The 15,138-nt window shown below is 46.2% G+C and overlaps 1 protein-coding gene across 2 annotated transcripts in view; it reads right to left on the bottom strand.

The window, feature by feature from the left end:
* Positions 1-15,138, bottom strand: part of AP1M1 (adaptor related protein complex 1 subunit mu 1) — a 47,996-nt gene that overhangs the window by 23,177 nt on the left and 9,681 nt on the right. The window contains exons 4-6 of one of the 2 annotated variants that reach the window (NM_001130524.2): positions 14,581-14,711; positions 13,553-13,700; positions 12,335-12,370 (exon numbers count right to left, since the gene is read on the bottom strand). In NM_001130524.2, coding sequence (NP_001123996.1) covers positions 12,335-12,370; positions 13,553-13,700; positions 14,581-14,711 — 315 coding nt within the window. The remainder of the gene's footprint in view (positions 1-12,334; positions 12,371-13,552; positions 13,701-14,580; positions 14,712-15,138) is intronic. The other variant, NM_032493.4, reaches the window with a different exon arrangement.

The raw sequence follows: 15,138 nt of genomic DNA, 5'->3' as shown, positions 1-15,138 counted from the left end.
ACACTCAGATGGGAAGATCACTTGAACACACGAGGTTGAGGCTGCAGTGAGCTATAACTGCACCACTATACTCCAGCCTGGGCAACAGAGTAAGACCCTGTCTCAAAACAAAAACAAAAACAAAAACAAACAAAAAGAGAAGAATCAAATGGAAAATTTTTAAAAATATAGTAACTGAAATAAACAACTTGCTCAATGGACTTAATAGCAGAATGGAGGCCAGGTACAGTGGCTCATGCCTGTAATCCCAGCACTTTGGGAGGCTGAGGTGGGAAGATCACTTGCCCCAGGAGTTCTAGATCAGCCAGGGCAACACAGAGAGACCCTCATCTCTACAAAAATTTTTTTTTAAAAATTAGCCAGGCTTGGTGGTGCACACCTGTAGTCCCAGCTACTCAGGAGGCTGAAGCAGAAGGATCGCTTGAGCCCAGGAGGTTGGGGCTACAGTGAGCCATGCTTGCTCCATGGCTCTCCAGCCTGGATGACAGAGTGGGAACCTATCTCAAAAAAAAAAAAAATAATAATAATAATAGTAATAATAATAATAACAGAATGGAGATAAACAGGAAAGGGCCAAAGGACCTGTGAACTTAAAGGCAGTTCAATGTAAATTATCCAATCTAACAGAGAGAAGAAAAGATAGAATAAAATAAGCAGCCTCAGGGACACATGATATAATAACCAAAGGTCTTTCATGTCACTGGAGTCCTGAAGGAAGAGTAAAATGACAAAAACATATCTGAGGGCTGGGTGCGGTGGCTCATGCCTGTAATCCCAGCACTTTGGGAGGCTGAGGCAGGTGGATCACCTGAGGTTGGGAGCTTGAGACCAGCCTGATCGACATGGAGAAACCCTGTCTCTACTAAAAATACAAAATTAGCCAAGTGTGGTGGTGAATGCCTGTAATCCCAGCTACTCGGGAGGCTGAGACAGGAGAATTGCTTTGTAGAAAGTAAAAAAGTTCCTCTTCAAAGTTTCCCTTCTCACTAAAGAATAAATCATAAGTGTTAGAAATAATGTACATTCTATGTCCTTGTACTTTAACCGAAATATTTGTTTTAGACATAAAGGATGTTAGATATAAGGGAATGAGTACATTCTGTGTCCTTGTACTTTAACCAAGATATTTGTTTTTAGATGTAAGGGATGTTAGATATAAGGGAATGAGTCAACTTCCTCTTTTTCCTTTGTTCTCCCTTGCCTTTATCTATTTAGGAAAGTTTTAAGTTATTAGCCAGTCAGGTTTAGCTTAGATTGTGAGGTCTGGCTCCAGCCAATGGAGATAGGACACAGCAGCAGGGACAAGCTGCATAAGGGATAAAAACGGCTTTCCTCCTTTGTTCGGGTGTGCTCTCGCCATTGTTCCATCTGCGAGGAGCACCCTTTCTGCAGAAAGTAAATTTGCCTTGCTGAGAAAACTTTTTGTTTGAATGCTGATTTTTCCTTGTGGTACCGAGGAACAAGCATTCTGTTTCTGAATAAACATTTTACTTATAACAGCTTGAACCTGGGAGGCAGAGGTTGCAGTGAGCCAAGATTGTGCCATTGCACTCCAGACTGGGCAACAAGAATGAAACTCTGTCTCAAAAAACAAAACAAAACAAAAAAACAAAAAACCATATTTTAGGAAACAATGATTGATAACTTCCCAATTTGATGAAAGACATAAACTTACAGATCCAAGAAGCTGAACAAATCCCAAACAGTAGAAACACAAAGATGTGCACACCTCATCTAACTGCTGAAACTAAAGGCAAAGAAAAATCTGGAAAGCAGCCAGAGGACAATAATACATCACCTATAGGGGAATAAAGATTTGGGGGACTGTGGATTTCTCACCAGAAATGATGGATGCCAGAAGGAAGTGGTATAACATATTAAAGTGCTAAACAAAAACCGTCAATTCAGAAGTCCATATCCAGTGAAAATAGCCTTTAGGGATAAAGGTAAAATATAGAGACATTCTTAAAGGAAAGCCAAGGGAATGTGTAGCCAGTAGACCTCCTCTACAAGAATGGCTTTTAAAAAAACCTTTTTAGGGCTGGGCGCAGTGGCTCATGCCTGTAATCCCAGCATTTTGGGAGGCCGGGGTGAGCAGATCACTTGAGGTCAGGAATTTGTGACCAGCCCAGCCAACAAGGTGAAATCCTGTCTCTACCAAAAATACAAAAATTACCCAGGTGTGGTGGTACATGCCTGTAATCTCAACTACATGGGAGGCTGAGGCTGGAGAATCGCTTGAACCTGGGAGGCAGAGGTTGCGGTGAGCTGTAATCGCGCCACTGCACTCCAGCCTGGGTGACAGAGCAAGACTCTGTCTCAAAAAAAACACAAAAAACAAAAAAACCCCAAAAGCCGGGCATGGTGGCACACGGCTGCAGTCCCAGCTACTTGGGAGGCTGAGGCGGGATGATCACTTGAGCAAGATGATCACTGGAGTCAAAGTGTAGTGAGCTGTGTTCACGCTACTGCCCTCCAGCCTGGGCAACAGATCGAAGCCCTGACTCAAGAAAACACTTTTTTTTGAAATTAATAGTTAAAAGCATTTTGTAAAATAAATCTCCAGGCTCGGATAGTTTCAGTGGTGAATTCTAACAAATGTTTAAAGAATTAACATGGATTCTATAAAATGTCTTCCAGAAAACGGAAGAGGAAAAAACACTTCCTCCATTACCTTGATACCAAAACCAGACAAAAACATTACAAAAAAGAGAAAATTACAAACCAGTATCTCTTATGAGTGTAGATCCAAAAATCTCCAACAAAATACCAGCAAAGGAAATCCAGCAATACATAAAAAGAATACAGGTTAAGCATTCCTAATTCAAAAATCCCAAATCCAAAATGCTCCAAAATCCAAAACTTTTTGAGCCCTGACATGATGTCAAAAGTAGAAGATTCCATACCCAACTTCATGTGACAGGTTGCAGTCAAAATGCAGGTGCACAATGCAGTTTATTCAGCATCTCCAAGGGAAAAGTAAAATTACCTTCAGACTACGTGCATAAGGTGTATATAAAACATAAATGAAGCCAGGTGCAGTGGCTCACACCTGAATTCCCCCAGCACTTTGGAAGGCTGAGGCAGGTGGATCACCTGAGGTCAGGAGTTCGAGACCAGCCTGGCCAACATGGTGAAACCCCGTTTCTACTAAAAATACAAAAATTAGCCGGGCATGGTGGCAGGTGCCTGTAATCCCAGCTACTTGGGAGACTGAGGCAGGAGAATCGCTTGAACCCAGGAGGGAGAGGTTGCAGTGAGCTGAGATTGTGCCATTGCACTCCAGCCTGGGCAACAAGAGCGAAATTCCATCTCAAAAAAAAAAAAAAAACAAAAAAACAAAAATGAATTTCACGTTTGGACCTGGGTCCCAGCCCTAAGATATCTCATGATGCATATGCAAATATTCCAAAATCCAAAGAAATCTGAAATCCAAAACACTTCTGCTCCCAAGCATTTGTATAAGGGATACTCAACCTATAATACACTATGACCAATGGGATTTTATTCCAGGAATGCAACACTGGTTCAATAATCAGAAAGCAGTCAGTGGAATACACCATATTAACAACCAAAAGAAGAAAACTCATGTGATTACATCAATTGATGCAGAAAAAGAACTGAAGAAAATACAACACCCACGCATGATTAAAAAAAAAAAAAAACTGTTAGCAAACTAGCAATAAAAGGGAACTTCCTCAAGGTGAAAAAGAACACCTATAATAAACCTACAGCTAACATCCTAGTTGGTGGCAAAAGACTTAATGGTCTCCCTCTAAGATCAGGAACAAAGCAAGAATGTCAGCTCTCACCACTCATATTCAACACTGTGCTGGAAGTCTCAGTGAGGGAAGACGTAAAGCAAAAGAGATAAAAGAAGCTTCCAGAGAGCTGAACACGTGGAGGTTCCTGGAGGGTGGTGTGTCCAGAGAGGGCAAGGAAGCTCTGGGTCCCTTCCCTCTATACCTTGCTTACCCAAAGAGGGGTTTGTGAGAACCCTAATTTGAAGCTGTTTAAAGACTGCCTAGATTTTGCTCCTGCTCCAAGATGGCCAACTAGACGCAGCCAGGAGAAACATCTCCCACTAAGAGACAGGGACACTGTGCAGACAGGTGCACTCCTAGACTCCTAGATCTTCAGTGGGAAGGCCCTGAGAGTGAACGGAGGGAAGACATAGAGGCTGGATGGAAGGCAGAGGAGGAGGCTGGGAACCCTGCACAGGGCTACTGTGCACCAGGAATCATTCCTGGCTCCCAGTGACTCCTGTGGAGGGGGTGAATTGAACTAGCAAGGGGCAACCCACTCTTGCCATGGCCTCTGGAATCCCGGCAGGAAGGACCCCTCGACTGCCACGGCCAGCTGCGTTGGCAGGGGAAGCTGCTTAAAGAAGTGGTAGTGATGCAGGGCAGGCGAGCCCCAAAACTGAGACAGCCCGGGAGGGTTCTTGGTTTCAGCCAGGAAAGAACTCAAGGGCGAGCTGGTGGTGATAAACAGAACTTTTACTAAAGCAGCCATGTGCACGGCAGCAGAGGCACTGCTCCCTATGGAGCGGGGCTACCCCATGGGCAGTGCGCCCAGAGCGGCAGCTCAGAGGCAGCTCTGCAGTCACATTTATACTGACTTTTAATTATATGCAAATTAAGGGGCAGTTTATAAAGAAATTTCTAGAATGTGGGTGGTAGCTTCTAGGTTGTTGGGTCATTGCCATGAAAAAGGGTAGTAACTTCCAAGTGTTGCCACGGCAATGGCAAACTGACATAGCACACTGTGGGGTGGGTCTTATGGGGAGGCGCTTCTGCCCTGACCTCTTTTAGCTAGCCTCAATTTGGTCTGGTGTCCAAGCCTCACCTCCTAAGTCGAGTTCTGCCTCCTACCTCAGGCGGGGCAGAACTCCAGCCTAAGCCAGGCCAGGGGGTTTGATGCAGAAGCATATGTGGTGGAGCACAGCCAGGACACCCATCCCCTAGGCTTGACTTGCTCTCATAGGAGACTTTAGCCGTAGGGGAACTGTCAGACCTGAACTCTCCAGGGTAGTCTTGCCCATCAGATGGGGCTGGTCTGACCTGAGCAACCCTCAGTCTGCTGGCCTCTCCTGGGGCCCCAGCCTGGCCAAGCCTGCTTGCAGTGCAATCCCCAGGTACCTCTTGGGGGCGGCATCAGAGCTCCTGCACTGGCAGACTGTACCTGAACGGGGAATACTCCTGCACAGCGGCCCCATGGACACACTAGCCCACCTGAGCCCCGCTCCCACTGCAGCCTCCCCTGTGCAGTTTTGCCTGCAGGTTCTTGCCCACAGGCACCCTCAATATTGTTTTGCTGGTGGTGTGTGCGTGGGTGGACCTAGCCCACCCTTCCCCAACAGCATGCCTGTGTGTGCACCCTGCTGTGCCACTGTTGCCAGCATAAGTGCACCCCAGCCCCTCATTCTCCTCTCCCACCACCGTTGTTGTCAGAGTGTTGGCAGCATAGAGCCCGCCAGCCCCACCCCTCCCAGTTCCCCACCTATGCTGGGCCTCCCACAGGAAACTAGGCAGAGAAAACAGAGGACCTACCCCTAGCCCTGAGCAGCCACTGCTGCCAGTGTGAACATGCACAAAGGGCACACACAGTCCTGCACCCACCAGTGCCCCCATGCTAACCCCATCATCGGCACCAATGAACAGGTGCACAGTTGCCAGCGTGGCCCCTGCCCCCACCCCAGCCATACTGCCACTACTGCTGCTGCTACAAATGCCCTCCCAGAGGCTGGCTCCCTGACATCCACTAGCACTCTGTCACAGCCGATAAGCGTGCACCCCGCTGTGCTGCCGCTGGCACATGCAAACAAGAACAGATCCTGCTGCCACTACCCTATGAAGTGCTTTGCCTGGCACCACCCATTGGAGTGTTGTGACCAGCTGTCTGGGAGCAGCTTGGCCCCTCTAGCAGAGCAGGTTCTTAACCTGAAGGAGCCAGAGATCAAAGCCAGGGCTGGATACCAGTCCTCCAGAGTTAGAGCATGCAGTTCAGGAGTCCTAAGCTGAGCCTTGGTCCCCTAAAATCTTCCAATAATGAAGCCATCCAACTGAACCCACCTTATACACAATCAAACCCCCAGGGTCATCAAATAGGATAAAGGAAAAAGAAACCCATTCAAAGGACAGCAACTTCAAAGACTAAAGGAATATCAGCCCACAAAAATGAGAAAGAACGAGCACAAGGACTCTTGACAACTCAAATAACCAGAGTGTCCTCTTTCCTCCAAACTGCAGTAGTTCTCCAGCAAGAGTTCTTTTTTTTTTTTTTGAGACGGAGTTTCGCTCTGTCGCCCAGGCTGGAGGGCAGTGGTGCAATCTCGGCTCACTGCAAGCTCCGCCTCCTGGGTTCACGCCATTCTCCTGCCTCAGCCTCCCAAGTAGCTGGGACTACAGGCGCCCGCCACCACACCCGGCTAATTTTTTGTATTTTTAGTAGAGATGGGGTTTCACTGTGTTCACCAGGATGGTCTCAATCTCCTGACCTTGTGATCCGCCCACCTTGGCCTCCCAAAGCAAGAGTTCTTAACTAGGCTGAGATGGCTGAAATGACAGAAATAGACTTCAGAATATGGATAGGAACAAAGATCATTGAGATTAGGAACATTGAAACCCAATCTAAGGAGGCTAAGAATTATAATAAAACAATATATGAGCTGGCAGACAAAACAGCCAGGATAGAAAATGATGTAACTGACCTGATACAGCTGAAAAACACAGTATAAGAATTTAATAATGTAATCACAAGTATTAACAGTAGTACAGACCAAGCTGAGGAAAGAATCTCAGAGCTTGAAGACTGGCTTTCTGAAATAAGACAGTCAGATGAGAATAGAGAAAAAATAACGAAAAGGAATGAACAAAGCCTCCAAGAAATATGGGATTAAAAAAGAGAGCAAATCTACAACTCATTGGTGTCCCTGAAAGAGATGGGGAAAATGGAAGCAACTTGGAAAACGTATTTCAGGATACTATCCATGAGAACTTCCCCAGTCTAGCTAGAGAGGCCAATATTCAAAATCAGGGAATGCAGAGAACCCCTGCAAAATACTTCACAAGATCATCCCCAAAACACATAATCATCAGATTGTCCAGGGTCAAAATGAAAGAAGCTAGAGAGACATAGCAGGTCACCTACAAAGGGAAGCCCATCAGACTAGCAGTGGGCCTCTCAGCAGAAACCCTACAAGCCAGAAGAGATTGGAGGCCTATATTAAACATTCTTTTTTTTTTTTTTTTTTTTTTTTTTTTTGAGATGGAATCTCATTCTGTGGCCCAGGCTGGAGTGCAGTGGTGGGATCTCAGCAGGTCACTGCAACCTCCGCCTCCCAGGTTCAAGCAATTCTCCTGCCTCAGCCTCCCAAGCAGCTGGGACTACAGGCATGCACCACCACGTGCTGCTAATTTTTATATTTTCAGTAGAGACCAGGTTTCACCATGTTGGCCAGGCTGGTCTTGAATTCCTGACCTCAGGTGATCCCCTCCCCTCCCCCCTCCCCCCTCTCCCCCCCCCCCGCCCCCGCCTTAGCCTCCCAAAGTGCTGGGATTACAGGTGTAAGCCACCACTCCTGGCCAATATATTAAACATTTTTAAAGAAATTCCAATCCAGAATTTCACATCTGGCCAACCTAAGCTTCATCAGCAAAGGAGAAATGAGATCGTTTTCAACTTGGGTGTGGTGGCTCAACCTGTAATCCCAGCACTTTAGGAGGCCGAGGTGGGTGGAGTGCCTGAATCCAGGAGTCTGAGACTAGCCTGGGAAACATGGCAAAACCCCATCTCTACCAAAAACATATACATTAGCCGGGTGTGGTGGTACCTGCCTATAGTCCCAGCCAATTGGTAGGCTGAGGCCAGAGAATAGCTTGTGCCAGGGAGGTAGAGGTTGCAGTGAGCCATGATCATGCCACTGCACTCCAGCCTGAGCAACAGAATGAGACCCTGTCTCAAAAAAAAAGAAGAATAAAAAAGATCCTTTCAGACAAGCAAATGCTGAGGGAATTTGTTTACCAGCAGACCTGCTGTACAAGAGCTCCTGAAAGAAGTACTAAATATGAAAAGAAGGCCGGGTGTGGTGGCTCATGCCTGTAATCCCAGCACTTTGGGAGGCTGAGGCAGGCGAATCACCTGAGGTGTGGAGTTCGACACCAGTCTGGCCAACATGGTGTAACTCCATATCTACTAAAAATACAAAAATTAGCCGGTCATGGTGGTGGGTACCTGTAATCCCAGCTACTCGGGAGGCTAAGGCAGGAGAATTGCTTGAGCCAGGGAGGCAGAGGTTGCAGTGAGCAGAGATCATGCCATTGCACTCCAGCCTGGGTGACAGGGCAAGACTCCATCTCAAAAAAAAAAAAAGGCCGGGTGCAGTGGCTCACGCCTGTAATCCCAGCACTTTGGGAGGCCAAGGCAGGTGGATCACGAGGTCAGGTCAGGAGATCGAGACCATCCTGGCTAACATGGTGAAACTCTGTCTCTACTAAAAATACCAAAAAAAAATTAGCTGGGCATGGTGGCATACGCCTGTAGTCCCAGCTACTCGGGAGGCTGAGGCAGGAGAATCACTTGAACCTGGGAGGCAGAGGTTGCAGTGAGCCAAGATCACGCCATGGCACTCCAGCCTGGGCTACCCAGTGAGACTTTGTCTCAAAAAAAAAAAAAAGAAAAAGGAAAGAAAAGGCCATTACTAGCCACTACAAAAACACATTTAAGTACACAGACAAGTAACACTATAAAGCAACCACACAAACAAGTCAGCATAATAAACAGCTAACAACACAATGACAGGATCAAATACATGCATATCAATACTAACCTTGAATGTAAATGGGCTAAATGCCCCAATTAAAAGGCATAGAGTGGCAAGAGCTGGATAAAGAAATAAGACCAAATGATATGCTCCCTTTAAGACACCATTCTTGGCTGGGTGCAGTGGCTCATGCCTGTAATATCCCAGCACTTTGGGAGGCCGAGGCGAGTGGATCACTTGAGGTCAGGAGTTCGAGACCAGCCTGGCCAACATGGTGAAACCTCGTCTCTACTAAAAATAGAAAACCGCCAGGCGTGGTGGCGCGTGCCTGTAATCCCAACTATTTGGGAGGCTGAGGCAGGAGAATTGCTTGAACCTGGGGGACAGAGGTTGCAGTGAGCCGAGATTGCGCCACTGCACTCCAGCCTGGGCAACACAGCAAGACTCTGTCTCAAAAGAAAAAAAAAAGACCCATCTCAGATGCAATAACACCCACAGACTCAAAATGAAGAAATGGAGAAAAATCTACCAAGCAAATAGAAAACAGACAAAAGCAGAGTTGCAATCTTAATTTCAGACAAAACAGACTTTAAGCCAACAAAGATCAAAAAAAGACAAAGAAGTGCATTGCATAATGGTAAGGTATTCAATTCAACAAGATCTAACTAACCTAAATAAATATGCAGCCAACAGCAGCACTCAGATTCATAAAGCAAGTTCTTAGAGACCTACAAAGAGACTTAGACTCCCACACAATAACAGTGGGAGATTTCAACACCCCACTGACAGTATTAGACAGATCACTGGGGCAGAAAATTATCAAAGATATCCAGGACCTTAACTCAGCACTGGATCAACTGGACCTGATAGATATCTACAGAACTCTCCACCCAAAAACGAGAGAATATATCTCATCTGTACATGGTACATACTCTAAAAACCACCACACAATTGGACATAAAATAATCCTCAGCAGATGCAAAAGAACCAAAAGCATACCAGCCACTCTCTCAGACCACAAATCAATAAAAATAGAATTCAAAACTAAGAAAATCACTCAAACCCATACAATTACATGGAAATTAAACAACCTGCTCCCAAATTACTTTTGGGTAAATAATGAAATTAAGGCAGAAGTCAAGAAATTATTTGAAACAAATAAGAACAAAGATACAACAGACCAGAATCTCTGGGACACGGCTAGGGCAGTGTTAAGAGAAATTTACAGCACTACATGCCCACATCAAAAAGTTAGAAAGATCTCAAATTAACAACCTAACATCACAACTAAAAGAACTCACGAAGCAAAAGCCTCCAACTCCAAAGCTAGCAGAAGACAAGAAATAACCAAAGTCACAGCTGAACTCTAGAAGACTGAGACACAAAAACACCATTCAAAACATCAAGTAAGCCAGGAGCTGGTGTTTTAAAAGAATGAATAAGATAGATAGGCTGCTAGCTAGACTATTAAGAAAAGAGAGAAAACCCAAATAAACACAATTAGAAATGACAAAGGGGATATTACCATTGACCCCACAGAACTACAAATAACCCTTAGAGACTATTATTAACACTTCTATGCACACTAACTAGAAAATCTAGAAGAAATGGATAATCTCCCGGACACATATACCCTTCCAAGATGGAACCAGGGAGAAACTGAATCCCTGAACAGACCAATAATGAGCTCCAAAATTGCATCAGTAATAAATAGCCTAACAACCAAAAAAAACCTGGACCAGACGGACTCACAGCTGAATTCTATCAGACGTACAAAGAAGAGCTGGTACCATTCCTACTGAAATGATTCCAAAAAAACGGAGGAGGAGGGACTCCTCCCCTACTCATTCTATGAGGCCAGCATCATCCTGATACCAAAACCTGGCAGAGATACAACAAAAAAAGAAAACTTCAGGCCAATATCCTTGATGAACATTGATGCAAAAATCCTCAACAAAATACTAGTAAACTGAATCCAGCAGTACATCAAAAAGCTAATCCGCCACAATCAAGAAGGCTTTTATCCCTGGGATGCAAGGTTGGTTCAATACATGCAAATCAATAAACATGATTCATCACATAAATAGAACTAAAGACAGAAACTACATGATCATCTCAATAGGTGCAGAAAAGGCTTTTGATAAAATTCAACATCTCTTCATGTTAAAAACTCTCAACAAACTGGAGTTTTTTGGTTTTGTTTTTTGTTTTTTTTTGAAACAGGGTCTTGCTCTGTCGCCCAGGCTGGAGTGCGGTGGCACAATCTGGACTCACTGCAACCTCTACCTCTGGGGCTCAAGTGATCCTCCCACCTCAGCCACCCGAGTAGCTGGGATTACAGGCGCGCATCACCACGCCCGGCTAATTTTCCTATTTTTAGTAGAGCGGGAGCTACCATGCCCAGCCAACTAACTAGGTTTTGAAGGAACATACCTAAAATAATAAGAGCCATCTATGACAAATCCATAGCCAACATCATACTGAATGGGCAAAAGCTGAAAGCGTTCCCCCTGAAAACTGGCACAAGACAAAGATGCCCTCTCTCACCACTCCTATTCAATATAGTATTGGGGGCTGGGCATGGTGGCCGACGCCTGTAATCCCAACACTTAGGGAGGCCGAGGAAGGCAGATCACCTGAGGTCAGGAGTTCGATACCACCCTGACCAACATAGTGAAACCCTGTCTCGACTAAAAATACAAAAATTAGCCGGGCATGGTGGCATGCGTCTGTAATCCCAGCTACTTGGGAGGCTGAGGCTGGAGAAGCACTTGAAGCCCGGAGGTGGAGGTTGCACTGAGCCAAGCATGCCACTTGTACTACAGCCTGGGCTACAAAGTGAGACTCTGTCGAAAAAAAAAAAACACTGCTAAGAGAATAAAAAGATAAGCTACAGACTGGGGGAAAATACTTGCAAATCACCTATCTGACAGAGGACTTCTATCTGGAACACACAAAGAACTATCAAGGCTCAACTATATGAAAATAACCCAATTTAAAAATGCTAAAAAGATGCACAGAGACATTTCTCCAAAGAGGATATACAGATGACAAAGAAACATGTAAAGCAATGCTCAACATTATTAGCCATTAAGAAAATGGAATAGGCCAGGCGTGGTAGCTCACACCTGTAATCCCAGCACTTTGGGAGGCAGAGGCGGGTGGATCATCTGAGGTCAGGAGTTCGAGACCAGCCTGGCCAACATGGTGAAACCCCGTCTCTAGTAAAAATACAAAAATGAGCCAGGCCTGGTGGTGGGTGCCTGTAATCCCAGCTACTCGGGAGGCTGAGGCAGGAGAATCGCTTAAGCCTGGGAGGCAGAGGTTGCAGTGAATGGAGATAGTGCCATTGCACTCCAGCCTGGGCGACAAGAGCGAGACTGTGTCTCAAAAACAAAAACAAAAACAAAACACAAAACTGTGCTGACATACTACTACATACCTATTAGGATGACAAAAATAAAACTACTGACAAAGGATGTGGGGTCATCACAACCCTCATCTGTTGCTGGCGAGAATGCAAAACAGCAATGGTTTGGCAGTTTCTTATAAAGGTAAACATACACTTACCGTGTGACCCAGCCATCCCACTCCTGGGTATTTACCCTAGAGAGATGAAAACTTATGTCCACACATAAACCTGGACACGACATGTTTCTAGCAACTCTATTGACAATTGCCAAAGATTGGAAAACCACCCAAATGTCCTTCTGTGGTTCAGAACAGAAAATAAATATAAATAAATATAAAAGGGAACAGACTTTTGATATGCAAAACAATTGGATTTGGATGAATCGCAAAGAATTAGAATGAGTTAAAGCAGCCAGACTCGAGAGCTCATGACTGTATGACGCCATTCATACGACAATCTCAGAAAGACAGCTGCGGTGACATATGATGCCACTCGTGTGACAATCACAACACGATGAAGACTCCAGTGATGGAGAACAGTTCAATGGTGGCCAGGAAATGGGGAAGAGGGGAGCATGGAGCTACAAAGGGGCAACATGAGGAGGTTTTGAGGTTCTGTGTCCTGGGTGTGGTGATGGGTACACAAATCTGTACAAGCGCTAAAATTCATTTTCAAAACGTCAACTTTCCTCATAATTAAAAAACCAAAAGAAAAAAATATACAAAACAGTAACACTGAACGCAAAATCAAAACCCAAACAACAACCACCACCAAAAAAACAAGCTGCAGGAGAACCACATCTTATGATCTCAGGTTTATAGAAAAATCAATATACTTGTTTCTGTCTGTCTACAGAATGAGGCCCGAGAGGGTGACGGTGAATAAATCCTAATCTTTCTGATTATAGGAGCCCTTTAGTTTCTTTTTTTTTTTTCTGTGCATGGTGACTGATAAGAGCCCTTCACTTTCTAACCTCATACCCTGCTTCTAATTTTTAAAAATAATGTGCATGTATGGATTCTCAGTCAGCATAAATGCTAATAAAGAAAACAAGCTTTAGCCGAGCGTGGTGGCGGGTGCCTATAATCCCGGCTACACGGGAGGCTGAGGCAGGAGAATCGCCTGAACCTGGGAGGCGGAGGTTGCAGTGAGCCGAGATCGTGTCACCACACTCTAGCCTGGGCGACAGAATGAGATTCCGTCTCAAAAAAAAAAGATAAGACAAACTCACATTTCAATGAGTGGCCCAAACTGAATCCTGCTATCTGTTACCACACAGAACGGCTCTCGGGGCTTTGCCAGTTTTAAAATGCTGTGTTTATTTCTATCGTGGAAGAGATAAAACCCTACAGAAGAAGGAAAGAAAAGAGGCCTACCAAGAGGTTGACAGACTCGATGACGTCCAAGAACACCTCATTCTTCCGATACTTGATGCCTTCGGACCGCCAGGACACCGCGTTGGTGACGGTGGCTGGTGGCCGCGGGGCCCCTGTTTCCAGCTTGTGGCCTTCCTGAGTGATGTACCTGTGGGGCCACACGCTCAGAGTGAAGGAGGTGGTACCCGCACCAACGCCACAGCTTCTGGCCTTGACATTTCGGCAGGGTTGGGTGGGGGGTACAGGGCAGGTTCTGACCGACTTGAAAATAGCCCTTGGATTTCAGCAGCTCCAGAAAAGGCAGCCTCTGGTTCACCTGGGGCTGCTTCATACAGAAAAATCTTCACAATTTCCAAAAGCCAATACACTCAAGTTATAGAGGCTGAAGTGCTCATTTTGGGGGACCAAGAAGACCATGTTGGGAAGGAAAACAAGAAGTGGGTGTGAGCTGCTTCCCGTCCCTGCTGAGCACGTGGATGGAACTGACGCCTCGGAGTGTAACCTGGTGACCCCATCCTGCTGAAGGAGCAGGAGGTGCAGCGGTTAGGAACACAGGCTTCTCTGGGAGTCTGCTTGCTTGTCCCCTGTAAAATGGGGAGACGGTATACGGGGAGGCTGTGAATCGAGTGAATGTGAAGTGCTGGGGCCCGGCCCCCAGGAAGCACTTAATTCACATTGCTTCTTATCTGAAGGGCAGGATTCCAAAGAGGGGAGATTTCGATCACAGTCTCATTTTATGACAGTAAAAACAAGGGAGGTGACTCCTTAGTAGCAAGGTACTGAAGGCATCTGTGTGGATGGAGAGTAAAGATGAGGAGCAGGAAAAGCACGGTTATGTGGGGGCGTAGAGGAGGAAACGAATTAAAACCACTAAGAGCAACTTAGTAAAAACCCGAATACTGCTGGAGGTGGGAGGCAGGTGGGGGACAACATGAACACAAATTTGCCCCTTCTGTTTCCACACCTGATGACGTCGATGTCATGACACCGCCCAGGCCTGGCCCCAGGCCCCACCCCTGCCCACTCACTCCTGCAGGATCTTGCTGTCGGTGGTCTGGGGGTAGCCGAAGTCCATGAGCTCGTCCAGCAGCTCGTAGATGATAACAAAGTTGTCCCGGATGCTCTCCTCCTCCAGCTCCTTGAAGTACTCGGAAAACACCTGTGGCGGTTGGGGAGGGAGGGAGGAATGGGAGGCAGATCATTGAGCGGACGGATGAGGAATGAATGAACGCTTGCACACATTCATTTGCCCGCTAAGTCCTACCAACAGCCTACTTCCCAGGCTCGGTGGTGTGCTACAGGGCCCTGGACCCAGGTTATGGGGCAGGACAGCAGTGGCTGGCTGTGGGGTGGGGCCAGGCTGGAGCCACTGCAGATGTCCCGAGGCCTTCAGAAGCTCTGCGTTCCCATTCTCTTCCCTGCCCAGACACCCGCAGACAGGCAGCCCCTCCTGAGCGACTGTAACTGTCATCCCTTTCTGAGTCTGGAGTGACTCAGGCAAGGACCTGATGAGCTGCCATCTTCCCCATTTCAGTGGAAAGCTTGATGCATCTTCCCCATTTCAATGGAAAGCTCAGAAGGTTAAG

The sequence above is a fragment of the Homo sapiens genome, chromosome 19 (assembly GCF_000001405.40).
Source record: "Homo sapiens chromosome 19, GRCh38.p14 Primary Assembly".
Taxonomy (NCBI): Eukaryota; Metazoa; Chordata; class Mammalia; order Primates; family Hominidae; genus Homo; species Homo sapiens.
This window is presented reverse-complemented; position numbering and strand designations above follow the sequence as displayed.